At 36.7% G+C, this 17,427-nt stretch overlaps 1 protein-coding gene across 3 annotated transcripts in view; it reads left to right on the forward strand.

The window, feature by feature from the left end:
* SCIN (scinderin) overlaps window positions 1–17,427 on the forward strand; it is an 89,463-nt gene that overhangs the window by 42,912 nt on the left and 29,124 nt on the right. For all 3 annotated transcript variants that reach the window (NR_156701.2, NM_001112706.3, NM_033128.3), the window contains 5 exons: window positions 9,170–9,262; window positions 11,379–11,511; window positions 12,131–12,219; window positions 12,953–13,168; window positions 15,470–15,591. Coding sequence is in view for 2 of the 3 variants with exons in the window: in NM_001112706.3 (NP_001106177.1) it covers window positions 9,170–9,262; window positions 11,379–11,511; window positions 12,131–12,219; window positions 12,953–13,168; window positions 15,470–15,591 (653 nt within the window). In the remaining variant the exon portion in view is untranslated. The remainder of the gene's footprint in view (window positions 1–9,169; window positions 9,263–11,378; window positions 11,512–12,130; window positions 12,220–12,952; window positions 13,169–15,469; window positions 15,592–17,427) is intronic.

Consider the following 17,427-nt stretch of genomic DNA (forward strand, 5'->3'; position numbering starts at 1 on the left):
TTATATTGACAGCACTTGTATAAACTAGTGTTAATGTATCAGAATTGCTGTTATGTTTGCAGGGGTATCTAGTGCATCACAATTTTTAGAATTACATTATTTTGAAAAAATGTATATGTAATAATATGTTTATTTAAAGGCTTTAAAGTGACTTTGTAAGGAAAGGATGGTTTCTTCATGTAAATATAGTATTCTGCTCAGTGGAAACCAATAGGAAATTCTCAGTGTTAGATATCCCATAATCTACTAATCATGAAAAAGGTACCAACATGCTGCTAAAATATATTAATATCTGTATGTAAACAAAAAAGCTTCATAGAACTATGTTGGTAAGTGAAGTCATGTACCATGTATCACAGAGAAATTAAATATTAATGGTCTGAAATCTGCTGTCAAAAATACATCTTAACGATGTCTGATAGAGTGCATGTAGAGAAGACAAATATATTGATTAAAAACAGTTTTGAAACAAGGAGCAAATGCTCTACAATTGCATTGTGATATTCACTGTTATGGAACACTATTGTTAGGGAATGGCACGACTTCTCTCATCTTGTGTTCTACAAGGGTAAATGTAGATGGCTCACTGGTAGGCTGAACTTCCTGTTCATTCCTTAATCTTTTTGTTACATTTTCTTGATGGCATACAAGTGCTTCTTCTTATTAACACAGGAATTAAATAATCTAGGAAATGGATTTTAATTGCTGCAAAAGAGCTAACAACTACTACCCTGACAAACATTCAGTGCTAACCATAGAAGAGGCACTCTTCTAGGAGCTTTACAGGATTTAACTCTTAAAACCCTTACTGTGATATGGAGACATTTTTTATTCCCTGTCTATGTTGTGTTCCTCCAAAAGTTGACTCTGAGACAAGGACTTGGGGGCAGGTTGTTATTTGAAAGGTGATCCTGAAAGCATCAAGTAGGAGTAAAGTGAGACAACATTTTGTTAACAGGTGTCTTACTACAGTGAGCAACTGGGGCTGAGTCCCAAAGAGACCCTCAGGCATTAGCCCTCAGAAGGCTGAGTGGTTGCTGGGTCTAGCCAGTAACTCCCATCCCTCATTGCTTGAGCATTGCTCCTTGGTTCTTAATGTCCCAGAACCTGCCTTGTATTTGGACACAGTACAGCTCCATGGCTAGAGAATGCCACCAGATAGAAAGCAAAAGACTTCGAGCTTTAAGATACTATCTATAGACAGCTCCATGGCCAAATAATGCCACCATGTAGAGAGCAGAAGACTTAGAGCTTTAAGACACTATCTGCAAATGAACTCTAAGTTAGATCAAGGTGATATGGGCAGAGCACCAATAGCATCTGCTACATCCTTACTTTACAGATGAGGAAACTGAGTCATAGAGAGGCTATGTAACTTGCTTAAGTAGAAATAAGAATAAGAAATCTGTGGATCACACCCAAACTGTCTTTCTTACAGACACTGCGATCTTAAACATACAGAGCAAGGGAAATCCCAACTGCTGTGAAGTTATTTTATAACTTCAAAAACTTTGCCAGAAATGTTTGATAATTATGCCTCATTTTATATATTCCATATAATAATTACTAGTTTTAATAGCACAGTGTTTGTACTCAGTGGACTGGTGATATGGTTTGGCTCTGTGTCCTCACCCAAATCTCATCTGTAATTGTAATCCCCACACATCAAGGGAGGGACCTGGTGGGAGGTGATTAGATCATGGTGGCAGTTTCCCCCATGTTGTTCTCGTGATAGTGAGGGAGTTCTCATGAGGTCTGATGGTTTTAAAGGTGGTAGTTTTTTCCTTTGTGTTCCCTCTCTCTCTCCTGCTGCCATGTAAAATGCGCCTTGCTTCCCCTTCACCTTCCGCCATGATTGTAAGTTTCTTGAGGCATCCCCAGCCATGCGGAACGGAGAGTCAATTAAACCTTTTTTCTTCATTAATTACCCAGTATCAGGTATTTCTTTATAGCAGTGTGAAAATTGACTAATTCAACTGGCTTACCCCTTTGTTTTTTATCTCTTACCATTAGCATTCAGCCCTTCATCCAAATTACAGGGGCATTTGGTTTAGGGTAATTGAGGTACACATTTTTTTTTGGAAAGAATATACATTTTCTTAATGTATAGCATAGAAGTTATGCAAATATTTTTAAGTGCCTCAGAGTACTTGAAAAGCCATTTTTGAGTTTGCTCAATTAAAATTTCATGCTTGGAAATTTTCTGGATTATGTAGATAAAAAAGTTTTCCCAACTCCCTTGCCATTGAAACAAAACTTGGCCAGATTGAATTAAAAGTTATATATAAATCAGGTTTATGTACCTTTTCCTCAAAGGATAAGATGAGATAAAATTAAACAAGTTCATATAAATATGTGTATATGTATATGTATATGGTGATACAGGGCAGTGAAAAAATACTCCTGGAGGTTTAGCTCATGTTCTCATTATAGGGGTGCCCTATTTTCTTCTCCATTTCTCCCCTTACCCAACTTAGTTTTTTATCCAACTTAGAGTACCAGAGGGTAATCTTTTCCAAAATCAGTGAAAATAAGCAAGAAGTTACTGAGACTAATAATGTTACCAGAGACACTGTAGTGAAGCCCCAGCGGTGAGAGGAGAATGATCTTTATGGACCCAGCAGTTTTGGGAAATGGGACCTAATAAGAGATGACTAGAGCCCTCATGAATAGTTTGACATTATTATTGCAGAAATGGGTTATTTCTTGAGAGTGGGTTTATTATTATCTAAAAGTGAGTTTGGCCCCTTCTTGCTCTCTTGCTCTCCATGTTCTCTTGCCTTTCTTCCTTATACCATGAGAAGAGATAGCAAGAAGGCCTCACCAGATTCTGCTACCTTGATATTGGACTTCATAATGTGAGAAATAAATTTATTTTCTTTATAGATTACCTAATTTGTGGTATTCTGTTGTAGCAACTCCAAACAGCGAAAACACTGCACTGAAAGTTAGTTCACCTAAAGCAGGGATCAAAGCTAACCTGTTAACCATTGTAGACTCAGCTCTTTCCCACAGAGCCAGAATATTATAGACACGCAAGAAATAAACCTTACATAACAGATATATCTTGCCTCACCAAAATAAGGTCGTATGTACAAGACTATATGGGAAAATATGATGGAAACACAGAGGAGGATCAGAGAATTCGTTTTATAATCAAGGACTAATGACATCATAGACAACACAATTGTGGACTTCAATGAAAGGAAGAGATTACTATATCATATTCCTTTTTCTCAGCATTGTCACCTACTCTTCTGCTGATTGCATAAAAGACTTTTCTCCAGGTTTTGCCTGGAGAGGGATATACAGGTCTATATTCAATTTGTAGTTTAAATCTAAGATATAAGATTTTGACAAAGGTACATTACCAAGACATATAGACTGCTTTATAAAATCATTAGATCAGTACGTGAACAAATAATAAAGTGTAAGTCCATGAGGAGGTGTGTGGCAAGAAGTCCAGTGGTAAAATCATTATGCAAAGGATTAGTCCAGTAATTTGCAGGGTTGTATAAGACAGAAAGAGTAATGCTTTGACCAGGGAAAGATTTGACTCTGCATATGTAAAGGTGAAGAAAGGGTACAGGATCTACCATTTGTTGAATTTTCACCATATGCTAGTCATAGTAATAATCACATGATAATTGAGCCATATTATTTATTATACCATTTTAAGTGTGGAAATTAGATTACAGAGACTCTTAGTAGCGGCTCCACCCAGCTCAGCCTGCCTGATCCTGCCAAGTGAAGGGAGGTGTCAAAAAGACAATGGAAGAATGCACAGAAATTAGGAACCCCAAAGGCAAGTTTCGGAAGCGTTCATCCAAGCACTGATCAGACAGAAATGTCCAAAGTGGGTTTGAAGCCTTAGGGAAAAAGGTTTGGTGATGTCTAGAAAAGGCAAATGACCTGAAATCTTAATACCTGAGATTTGCCCCAGAGCAGCTCTCAGACCACCAGGCCCTAATAATTTGTCCAGGGGAGATGTGTTCTAACAAGCTAATGTGAACCTCAGAAATGCTTGGCAGACCTATCCCAATGGTTGAGGTAGATAAACCAGGCTAGCAAAGCTGATGCCACAGAGCACTTGAATCACATCACCAAAGCAGGCCTAGAAGGCTTTTCAAATATACAATGCATGGGCTCCAATCAGAATAAATAAATCTGAATTTCTAGAGATTGGATTCAGACATTGGCATTCTTTTTTATATCAGCCCAGATGGTTCTAATATGCAGCCAGTGAAAACAACTGCTCTTGTTTAATAAGTTGGCATTCTGGCTTATGGCTTTTAATGACTTGTGATTTTGCTTTCTGTGTTATAGTAACTTGTAAGGTAACTTTCCATATTATAGTAACTTTTGGGGTAATTTTCTTATGAGTTTGACCCTTCAACATCTATCCTCTAATACGCTGATATTCTAGGAATGCTGAAGTCCAGTCCTGCCTGATAAGTTCCCCACTGCCACAGCATTCCCTGAGGCCTCTAGGGCTGCACTCTGTGTCTGGCATCCTCAAGACATGAGTGACTATTTAAGTTTACATTTAAATTCCTTAAAATTAAATAAAATGTAAAATTCAGCTACTCAGTCACACTAGCCACATTTCAGGTACTCATTAGCTACAAATGGCTAGTGAGAACTGTGTGGGACAGCAAAGATGTGGAATATTTCATCATTGCAGAAATTTCTACAGGACAGCACTGCGCTATAGCTAAATCTCTTGCAGAAGCCCAGTTCACTTTGTCTTTTTATCCAAATATGCTTTCCTACCTCTAAAATACCTCACATGCTTTCCCTCCTCTAAAATACCTTTATCCATTCTTTAATATATGAAATCACCCTCTATTTTACTTATGAATAAAGGAATAAAGGTATTTTTGAGGCCATCACTGAGAGAGAGCAGCAGAGTAAATGTTGGAATCTTATATCCAGAGTGGGTGGAGCTGGCTAAATAAGACCACAGCTTTCTCGGAATAACTGGTCATTTTATATCTCTGTGGATCTTCCCTAATATCAAATATTTGTCTTACCTAAGGCATAAAATGCCTTGCAGCAAGTAAATATACCATAACAACAAGGATTAGCTTCACTCTTACAATTTATTTCTATGCTCCCTATGTTACACTCTACTGATTGTTTCTCAGTTAAGGAAAAGAAGTAAGATACAGAATTTACAAATTAAAATGTTCATTCTTGGAACCTGTGAGCTGATTCTGTTTTTAGTGAAAATAAAACAGAGTCATCTACCCTAAAATGATTAAGATGAGAAGAATGAAATGCCTCATTTTCTATATAAAGAGCTTTGAAGTAGAGGTTAGAAGGCCTGGGGTTTACATATTTGCTTTAATATTTATGAGACACGGATCTAAGGCAAAACTCCTAACTTCCTTCAGGCTCATTTTCTTAATCTATGAAGTTAAAGTAATCATGATACAGGTTCTGCCTCTCTCTCAGAGTTCTGCTGGGAGCACATAAGACCCTCAATGATAAATGCCTTTAGGACTTGGCACCAGCTTGGCACATTTTCATCCACAGTGATATGTAGCTTTGAGTTACATATTGTGCTTCTTCAAGGTCATGCATCATTATTGTTTTCTTATGATGCATTACAAATATTTATTCTAAAGTGGCCAAACATCTTGACTTTTTTGTATAAAGAAGGGAAACCACATCTTGAGAACAAGCCAGTGTAAATGTTGGAAGTTTTTATCCAAAGTAGGTAAAGTTGACTAAAAGGTAAAAAATAAATAAATAAATAAAAACAGAGGTACATGCTGTGAAAAACTAAGGATTAAGAGAGTAAAAGAGTATAGCAATTGTTTCTTGGCTGCCTGATCCTTTTATCTGAAAATACAAATTTCCACATAAGCCTGCTTAAGTTTTAAAAAGAAAAGTTCACCTTGGATCATAGTAGGGAAAGAAATAAACAAACACCAAGGGTGGTCTTGAGACAGGTCATGAGAAACTCTGAAGCTGGTCGATTATTAATCTCCTAGCTAGCTACGGGGAAAGAATGGGCATGGCTTCCATATGGAATGCCGAGTATGTCAGCCTGATTAGAGACAGGTACAAGGTAGGGAATGCTGAGAAATAAGGCAGGGTAGATGACATTCAGCATCTGAAGGGGACTTGGGTTTCAGACAGAAGTTTTGGGTCAGTGGGAGCACCCAATTCAGAATAATCTAGATTGCAGATTCCTGGGCCTCACCATAGACCTGTTTATTTACTCAATGGCTGGCAGCTAAGAATCTGTATTTACAAAGTAACACAGGTGTTACTTGAGTACATTGAAGTTCAGGAACCACTGCAGCAGATGTAAAATATAAATCTTTTTTATTTTTTAGTTTTTTAAAATTTAAAAATAAATTTTAAATGTTTTCCTGCTTTATAAAGGGATAATTGACAAAGTTTGTACATATATATCTATCAAATGATAGACATATATGTACAAACTTTGTCATATACAAAATGTCATATACAAAATGTGATATTTTGATAGAAGTATAAGTTGTGAAATGATTACCACAATCAATATAATTAACATCTGTCAACTCACATTGTGTGTGTGTGATGAAAATATTTTGATATCTTCTCTCTTAGCAAATTTCAAGTATAAACTACATTATTAATAACTGTAACCATCATACTATACTTTGTCTCCAGAACTTATTTATCTTATACCTGAAAGTCTGAATTCTTTCACCAACATTTCTCCATTTCCTCTATTTTTCAGCCCCTGGCAATCACCATTCTACCACTCTATTTCTATGAATTGGATATTTTGGATTCCACATATTAATGAGATCATGCATTGTTTATCTTTTTGTGTCTGGCTTATTTCACTTAGCATAATATACAATAGGTTCATCCATGTTGTTGCAAATGACAGGATTTCCTTGATCTAGAGTCATATTCCTACAACATAGGAGTAATGTGAAATAAGGGGCCTTGCAGCCAGTGTCCAGGAATAAACAGGAATCAGTGACTAACCATGATTAAAAATAATAATAATGACTAAGTGGGTAGGAGATCCAAATTGGAGGAGAGGAAGTATTTAAAACTGACCACATAATTTTAAGTCCATATAAAGAGGAGAGAATAGAGATACATTGACACAAATGGAGAATTGAGAGTGGCTAATTTTGTAGAAAATAAGTTCAGTTTGGAGTATTTAGATGACGGCAATACTTTTAAACAGAAACTTACAGAAAGTAATTGAAAGAGGAGCTCCAAACTTGCAAGATACATCTTGGCTAGAACAACTGACGAAATTTTTATGTAACACCTTCAAATGAGGCTTCTCTGTGTTTGTACCCCATTAAATTGTCAAAATATATGTTATTTCACATACAAAGGATTACATGAGCTAAATGCCAATCGCGTGGGCAACCCAAAATGAAAATGTTTCACATTCAGGCATGATCTTCCAAGCTGTGTTTACAGTTTATGTCAAAGATCAAAATGTATGGCCTAGTTGATAAAGTGAACATATTTAGTTATGTTGCTCTTTCTACGCCAGATGTAAAGCCCTTAAGTGTTGGACAACATGGTTAGAAACTCATTTATATACCCCAGTGACCTCAAATATTTGATAAATGCTTAGTTGAGCTCAATTTTAAAGTGATCCTTAGAGATGATACCTGACAATATATGGCATCTCTCTACCTCTGGAGTTAAGCCTGTTTTTGCTAAATCCCTTGGGTTCAATTCCCAACTATGCTGCAGTCCTTTGAGAAGCTAATTAAGATGCCTGGCTAATATGGGAATTGTGGTCTGAAAATTAAGAGTTAGAGTGTGCCTCAAATCCCAGACTGGGTCCGCCCACTGGGAGGTTTCCTAATATTAGATATGCCCTTAACACAAACTGTTTATTCCTAACTATGGTCTTAGTTGGAGGAGAATTAGAAAAGTATATGTGAGGAGATCTTTGATGGCTCTTACAAGCTATACATACTTCTAGCAAAAGTGTTTTTTTAAAAAGCTTTTGGTCACAAGTGTTTTAGTTTTTTTTTTTTTTTTTTTTGCTTGATTCTATTTTTAGCAAAAAAAGAAAAACTGCATTACAATCATTTAGCATGTACAGTATCTAAAACATTTTATTGATCACAGTACAAATAAAAAGATAGGTATGTTCCCAGAGGACATAAGTTCTCTGATGCATCTCTAAATTTGAGAGTGTACTTACACTCATGCAAGGATTAAAGTACATTTTTATTGTTTTCTGGTATTTTGCAGTACACATTTTTATGCAATATATTGTAAGGAATAGCGAATATAAAACACATTATGTAAGGAACTTATTGTGTGTTAAATATTTGTTGTATCTAAATGAACATCTTTGCATTTTCTAAACTTGAATTTATATCTATATTATAAAAATTAAATTATTTAAAATAAGTTTATATTTGATTCCTGTCCTTGACATTCTATGCTGTTTGTGTTAATTAATAAATTAATTAAGGTACTCATAGACATATTTTTTATTTTAATATAAAGAAATTCAAAGCAGATTCAAATGTATTTTCTACCAAACACTTTTTTGGACTTTTGGATTGCATCACATATGCACAGAATAGATAAATTCATTTATTCATTATTTTGACAAACACTTACTCTGCGTATACTATGTCCCAAGAACTGTTCCAAGTGCCAAGGATACAGCAGAAAACGAAGCATGATTTGGGTGATCAAGAGCTTGCACTTCATCCTATATGTCAATAATTATAGTAGTATTTTACCTCCAAATAGTAATTTTGATTCAAATCTTTATTATAATAAACTCATAAAACTGAGAGATTATTTCTAGAAGCAGAGGTCATAGAAGAAATTCTGCTGCAGAGCTGAACATAGAGCTCAAATTTTAATTAATTCCTTCTAGCTTTCAGTAATATGGACACCTAGGCTCTCAAATTAGGGATTTTCCTTTCTTGAAATTCATTGTTTGAGGTTGCAAACAAGCAACCTCAGTGCTTGTTTACTTAATGCAATTGATTGATTTGGCCTATATGAAAAGGACTACCTTGTATGCATTGATGAGAAGTGTTTGAGCCTGGTCATTTTAATTGCAAATATTTTATAATCCATGTCTTTATAAGTGTATTTTTCTAACTCTGCATCCTTCAATGGGAGATCTTTATCTTTGCATCCACTGCTCACTTTTTTCCAGGTCTTAGGGGAAAAGCCAGAGCTTCCAGATGGAGGTGATGATGATGACATTATAGCAGACATAAGTAACAGGAAAATGGCTAAACTATACATGGTGAGTTCACTGTAACCAAATTTATTGTTTCAACAGTACTGGATGTAGCTAGGGAGGCCTGTATTGGGCGGGATTCCCGTTGCTGCAGTTGAGAACTCTCCTCATTGCTCTCCAAGAGCAATGTGTAGATAGAATCAGTTCTTTGCTCTTGTATGTTTTTTTAATTAAGTTTTAATACTTTTTGTTATTTTTATGAAAAACAACAAATATGTGAACTTATTGCTGTGACTTCATAAAATTATATATTGTTGCTGTACTAGTTTGCAACGATCTTTTGATATATAATACTCAATACAATGTTTCCTTTATGGAGTAAAAATATTTTATCAGCTTTTTCTTATAAATTCTTGATAAGAATGTAAAGTCTTCACCCTATTTAAAACATTGTCTTTAGCCATAATGAAGGAGTTCTTTGTTACAGGAGGGCTGAGCTACCAAATGAAACAGCTGGAGGGAAACAGGGTAAAAACAGTTCTGTTCCAGGCATTAACCTACCTACTTCCATATCAGCTCTATAGCACATGATTAGGAGCATGACTTTGCACAGGACATAACCACTCTGGGTCTAAGTATTCTTATGCACACACAACAAAGAAAGTAGGTTCCTTCCAACTCTATAGTTTTTTTTATTCTTTGTTTGTTTGTTTTTTCTGTTGAGGGTAACAAAAACTGCAAGACACTCCAGTTAAGGAGGTTGCTACAGTGGTATTCTTCCAGTGTTCCCTCCCCTTGCAACTTTCTAAGCGTGTGATTTGGAGCAGATCGTAAATCTCCATGCAGAATTTAGTAGTTTTCTCATCTGTAACAGAAAGAAACTATATTTGCTGCTCTTTAAGGGATTTTTGGCTCCGAAACTCTGTGATTTTACATGAAGACCAAATTAATAACTTGTTTAGCGTAATTTCCTTTTCATAATGAATAAGTGGATTTTTTTTCTTCTAGATGCAAAAGGAAATATGGTTACCATTTCTGCTAAATACTGGTAATTTTAATATGAGCCATACAGAAAGTGTTAGCTAAATATTTTGTGACTGCTTTTAAAAATTACTATTTCTAAAACTCATTTTCAACAGCCTAACAGATATCTTTTATTTCACATCATCAACCAAAACTGTTCTCCCTCCTGGACAGCATTATGAACTAAAGAAGTATTTTTAAATGGGAAAATATTCATCCTGAGTCATAGCTTCCTCTAGTGGAGCTATGCTGTATTACATGGATATAAAGTATAAAGTTCCTTTGAAAATAATTCGGGTTTCTTAACAAGGCTGGCAAGCAAAATCACCTGGGGCATTTTCAAAACTACAGAATTCAGACTCCACCCTGGTCCTGCAAAACTCCACTAATCTAGGGAGGGCTCTGGAATCTGTATAATAGGTAACTAAACTGTAGCATACAAGCTGGCCATTGAAAACCAGTAAATCCTAACCTGCACATGAATATCACTTTCAATTTTGTAAGACCACTTAAAAATTTGTTTTAATAGTCTGTAGTCATTTCTAAATGTGACAGAAGAAATTTACTTTGATAATTTATACAAAGTTTACTTAAATTGCAGGACCTATGTTGAAAAAATCTTTGTGCATAAACTATATCAATATCCTCCTTAACAAAGCGACTGGTATATGGTAGACAGTAAATGTTGACTGAGTGATTGTTTAAACTTCATCTTGTGTGTATGTAATGATTTTAAGATTATTACCTACTTGAAAAGATTACTCTAAAATGTACAAGAAATAATCATGGAAAGTTAATTACATGATGCTTAGTACATAAGAGCATCTGAATAGACCTCAGCCATTATTATTATCACTATTCTTTTCTGATGTTTTAGGCACAGTGTCAAAACTTAACTTTTTATTTGTAGTTCCTTTACCCCAAAGGACTTTCAAAAAAATTAGAGTATAATTAGTCTTGTGGATTCTTTTCATTTTCTTTGAAACAGTTTTATTGAGATATAATTTATACACCATAAAATTCTTGCATTTAAAGTGTACAATTCAATGCTTTTTATTTGATGACATTTACCGAGTTGTACAACCATTACCATAATCTAATTATAGAACATCCTTATCATCCCCAAATGAAAACATGGAGGTCATGGTTTTTATATTAGGTTTCAGATGCAAGTGGCTCCATGAGAGTGACTGTGGTGGCAGAAGAAAACCCCTTCTCAATGGCAATGCTGCTGTCTGAAGAATGCTTTATTTTGGACCACGGGGCTGCCAAACAAATTTTCGTATGGAAAGGTAAAAAATTCCATTGACGATGCTGTATTTCAGATTTATAGATATTTCCTCTATAAGGGTAAATAAAATATATTTTTTGATTTTAAAAAAAAGCCCACCTTTTAATTAAGACATGATCTATAAATGTCTCACATAAAATGCAGCCATTTTCCTCCTACCAACATCATATACCAGGGATTATGGAGTTAAAAAAAAAGCATTTGGGCAATATAAAAAGAATTGTTTTACAAATAACGTTTTTTCCTGTATTGTTAAATACACTTAATATACCAGGAAATTTTTGCTATTCTTTTTTTTTTTTTTTTTTTTCCGTCGCCCAGGCTGGAGTGCAGCCCGCCACCACGCCCAGCTAATTTTTTTGTATTTTTTGTGGAGATGGGCTTTCACCGTGTTAGCCAGGATGGTCTCGATCTCTTGACCTCATGATCCACCTGCCTTGGCTTCCCAAAGTGCTAGGATTACAGGCGTGAGCCACCGCACCCGGCCAATTTTGCTATTCTTTCACTGCTGTATTTAACTTCAATTATAATCATGTTTATTATGGTACACAAGTATTTCTTAATCATAGAATGTCTTCCTTCTCTGAAGTTCTTTCTCTTTAATTTACCTTGTATTTTAGGTAAAGATGCTAATCCCCAAGAGAGGAAGGCTGCAATGAAGACAGCTGAAGAATTTCTACAGCAAATGAATTATTCCAAGAATACCCAAGTATGTGTGAAACTGAACTGGCTAGAAAAAAATAGAAAACATTGGAGCTCATGACATCTCCACGAAACTCATGAAAAAGTTTGGGTCAAAGTAACGTCTGTATGTGAAGTGATTCTCCACCTGCCTGTCTGCTGCAATCTGGTGTCCCTCTTCTTTATCTGCGTGGGGGTTAGAATTTTTTAGAAACTGCACATCAGACTTTCCATAGAGCTGCCCATTCACTTCCTCCACAGCCTTTAATTCAAGATAGTAAACCACAGTAGGTTTAGCTAAGAGCACTTAAGAGTTATTATTCCTTAGAGCAAGTTGTGCAGACTTGGCCTGAAACCCAGATGATATTTGTCTTCATCGAAATCAATTTAGACCCTGGCTAGTTACTCCTTTCCTTTCCGAATCTCTCAGCCTCATCTACTCTCCTCATTTTTATGTCCCTGCACAAGGAACACAATGAGATCATTTCTTCCAGGTCACAGAGCTCTTGTGAACCTTATGTAGAAAGACAAACTTATTTTACTGCAGGGGTAACATATTAAAGAACTTGATTCTTCTCTCAAATATTCAAATTCAGCGGCAATTACTTTAGTTGTGAGAAAAAGCAATTTTGGATTATATGAGCTTGATAGCTAAACCAGGATAATTTTCCATTTCCTTACTTTTGTCTCCACTGCCAGATTCATATTTTCCCTTAATTTCTTATTTTCCTGTTTACTATTATTATTATTTTAAATTTCAGATTCAAGTTCTTCCAGAAGGAGGTGAAACACCAATCTTCAAACAGTTTTTTAAGGACTGGAGAGATAAAGATCAGAGTGATGGCTTCGGGAAAGTTTATGTCACAGAGAAAGTGGCTCAAATAAAACAAATTCCCTTTGATGCCTCAAAATTACACAGTTCTCCGCAGATGGCAGCCCAGCACAATATGGTGGATGATGGTTCTGGCAAAGTGGAGGTATTTACCTGTTTTTGTTTTTATCAAGCCCATTAATGCCAGTGTATGTAGGGGGAGGGTGGGGGAGATCACTTGAGGACAGGAGTTCGAGATCAGCCTGGCCAACATGGTGAAACCCCACCTCTACTCAAAATACAAAAATTAGCCAGGTGTGATGGAGCTCGCCCATAGTCCTAGCTACTTGGTAGGCTGAGGCATGAGAATCGCGTGAGCCTGGGAGGTGGAGGCTGCAGTGAGCCAAGATCATAACACTGCACTCCAGCCTGGGTGACAGAGTGAGAAATGTGTGTATACACACACACACACACACACACATAAATGTGTATATATACACATATATCTGTGTGTATATATACATATATATTTATAAATGTATATCTAAATATATTTATACATATTTAATGGCTCTCCACAGCCTTCCTGAGAAGATCCATCTTCAGCTGGACCCTTGACCCTTTCCGTCATCTTGGCTTCACCCTTCCACTGCCTTGAGGACTGACTTCCCCTCTGCCATCTAGCTAATGTTCCTACGCCTCCTTGGCAACTCAGTTAAATCACAAGCCATACCTTTTCTGAGAAGGCTTCCCTCAGCGCTGAAGTGGCCTTTCTCTGTGCTCAACCTCTAGCGATACTTCTCACATAATTTATCATATACCTACCACAGAGTTGTTCATTTACTGCCAGATTTCTCCTAGAGCTCTCATCGATTCCTTGAGGACAGGAATGAAATATTTCATCTCTATATTCCTAGGGCTTACTACAATTCTTGGACCAAAGTATATGGTCAAGAAATTAGGGAAATAATTTTTCCTCTTTTCAAAGACGTGAAGCGTGAATCTAAGCGGCATGGGTGTTGGAGAGTGGGAAGTGCCAAGGGAGAAGGTCACAAATGTCCCTCATGGCTGTTGTCAGAGGGGTATTGACTTCTGGGTCTGCATCTGTCTCCTGCTCAGACATTCCTGCCAGAGCTCAGCCCTCCTGGCAAACTTGGTCCCCAGCACCAGCTGTGTCCTGGCTGCAGCCTTCTCCTGTGCCATCCTAGGGCTGCTGAAATCTGGGGGCTCTCTCTCGGATCTTGTGCTCTCTCTAGGATCTAAGGCTTCTGCTCACTAGGATAGTATGGGGTGGCCTCTCTCTAGAAGCACTGCACTGTTCCTGTCCACTTGCTTATCTTCAGATTTCAAAGCAAAGAGTCTGCCCTTCCCAACTGAGAACTTAGGCAAGTGTGCGCGCGTGTGTGTGTGTGTGTGTGTGTGTGTGTGTGTGTTTGCTTGCATGTACACACACAGTGCCTGGCAGCCTCTCCTTCGTTTGTTACTCTCCTGTTTCATCTACAATTCTCATCTCTCCAAGTTGGAGGGTGTTTAATCTGTGCTGAAGATGAGGAGGCAGAATGAAAGTGGTTCTGCCTGCTTTTCTCCCAGCATCACATTTCGGTCTTATTCCTGGATGGCACCTTTTAAAAACAGAAGTCATATTATTGGCATGGTCTTAGTCTGTTCAGGCTACTATAACAAAAGTACCATAGATTGGGGGTTTAAGCAGAAACATGTATTTCTCACCAGTCTGGAGGCTGGGGAGTCTAAGCTCAAGGTTTTGATGGGCTCAGTGTTTGGTGGAGGATCCACTTTCAGGTTCATAGACTTTTTGCTGCATCCTCACATGGTGGAAAAGGAGCTAGAGAGCTTTCTGATTATAAGGGCACTAATTTCACTCATGAAGGCTCCAGCCTCATGACCTAATTACCTCCCAAAGGTCCCACCTCCTAATACCATCACACTGGAGGTTAGGATTTCAACATACATTGTGGAGGGACTCAAACATTCAGTGTGTTGTAGCATTTTTAGTATTTGGTCACAGTCTATCAAGTTTTGCCTGGGAAAATAATAGTCCGCTATCTTAAAGCACAGGGAAAAAAATATATATATATGTTATTTCATAATTGAAGAAAAAAATTAACTATAAAATAGATATATATTTCTGAGCTGAATCTTGCAGTTTTTTATTCCACTGGAGTGTCATGTTATTTCCACTAGTAGATGAAACAATAAGTATTTATTAATCAATGGGCTCGGAACTGAGCTTAATACTGTAGAGGAAGCAAAAGACACATAAAAGTAGTTAAAATGTCAATAAATTGGCAAATCGATAACAATTTCTTTGCTTGATTTGTAAACTAGTTAATAAATAATTTAAAAGTTGTTTAATAATGGATTTGAACCAAAAATTATTTAAAGCTTATGAGAAATATTATTAGATCAAGAAAATTGTAATTTGTTGTATATATTCCATTCCTTCCAGATTTGGCGTGTAGAAAACAATGGTAGGATCCAAGTTGACCAAAACTCATATGGTGAATTCTATGGTGGTGACTGCTACATCATACTCTACACCTATCCCAGAGGACAGATTATCTACACGTGGTGAGTTTATACGGGTAAAGATCTCGAGTTCCACAGGAGCCAGATTTTGCTCCAAAGTATTAAATTCTATGCATTATGGGGTAGAATAATCCTATAATCATCCCAGTGAGATTTGTATAGCATGCATATAGTATTTTCTTTTTACATGATTTTGACTATGTTTTGCAGTTGCCATCCACAGGCAGCAGGAGTCACATAAAGATCATGCTATCTAGTCTAGGCAAAAAGTTTTGATATCCTAAACCAGTGATGTTCTCCTAGTGGATATGTAGTTGAATATCTCATCTTGTATGCAGGTTAACACTGCAACAGCAAGTGTCAGGTACCATGGTTTCTTATGGTTAAAATTCACAGAGGTCCATCCTAATTGGAACTGCAAAGTTGCAATATGGCAAAACCTGTAGGAGATACAATTTGTGATTCCACTGATACCTCAACTTGATGCAATTCTTATTCTTGTTTCCATTAAATTCACAAGAATAATGGAAAAAATATGCAACTGTGTTTTCATATTACATGGTTTTGCATGATGATTTAATTGAAGTCTAAATTTGCCAATGCCCTGCTCAAGGAGGAAATGATCAAATGTCCAACCAAGTAATTTATGTGCATACACCATGCTAGGATATGTCAAGGGATAGGGATTCTGCAACAAATTATATAATGTGAAATTCTCTAACTTTTTATTAAGTGAAATCAGGTAAAAATAGAATATTGCTAAGACGGCTGGAAAAAAGAAAATAATTCTTAAAAAAGATCTTCAAGCAGAGAAATGTGGGCTGTGGGCGTAAGGTACAAAGGCAGGGCAGACGCCTACCTTTGCCTACATAGTGATAACAACCTATAATAGGTATATAGAATATAGATGCATTCAGTCCTCTGCTGATATGGTGACATTTCTTTTTGGTGAACCTCACACCGAGACAGTCACATGCATCCCCATAGTCTGGTCATCCACACTGCCCAGTGCCTTGAGCCCAGTCAAGTTCAGGAGATGGGATGACACCAAAAGAGTGGTCTGGGAACTCGGAGGTATCAATATCACCTGGGAGCTTCTTAGATATGTAGACTCTCAGGCCCCACCTTTGACCCACAAAGGCAGAACCTGCATTTTAGCAAGGACCTCAAGTAATTCATATGCACTTTAATGATTGACAGGCACTGCTTCAGGCAGTGGTTTAGAACACTGACTGCATATTGGAATAACCTGGACAATTTCTCATAAATCCAAATGCTGTCACCCACACCAAATAAATCAAAATCTCAGCTGGGGGGAATCCTGAGATTCTAATCTATACCACCACATCGGTGTGAACCACCACCGCACCCAGAACACTCTGACGCCACAGTCAATCCATATGCTGTCCTAGACGAATGCATTTAGCTATTTAGCTCTGCGATTAACATGTCGTCTTAATAGCAACCATTCTGTGAGCAGCATGTTTGCACTGGCAAAGTGCCAGATGTTTCCTTGTATTTTTTATTTCTTTCCAAAAAGAGTGGAGCAGGGGAGATTAGACAGATTAAGTAATTTAACTCAAAGTCACAGCTGTTGTAACTGGTAAAGCAACATTTTAAATCTTAATCTATTGGTCTCTTTAAGGCCTGAGTATATCAATACCAGGTAGTTATGTCCTTATTTTGCAATTTCCTTTTCTAAAATTTTAATTCAGAAAAGTGTTTGTGCAACAAAATCATGGCATTTATAGGGATAAATTAATTATTCCCAGTTAACTTTTCTTTTGCATTTTATTTCATGGTCTTCCTCTTAATTCTCTTTTGAATATGAAAAACATAATTGATTGTGGTACTTACATTAAACGAAAAAAGACTAAG

The sequence above is a fragment of the Homo sapiens genome, chromosome 7 (assembly GCF_000001405.40).
Source record: "Homo sapiens chromosome 7, GRCh38.p14 Primary Assembly".
NCBI lineage: Eukaryota > Metazoa > Chordata > Mammalia > Primates > Hominidae > Homo > Homo sapiens.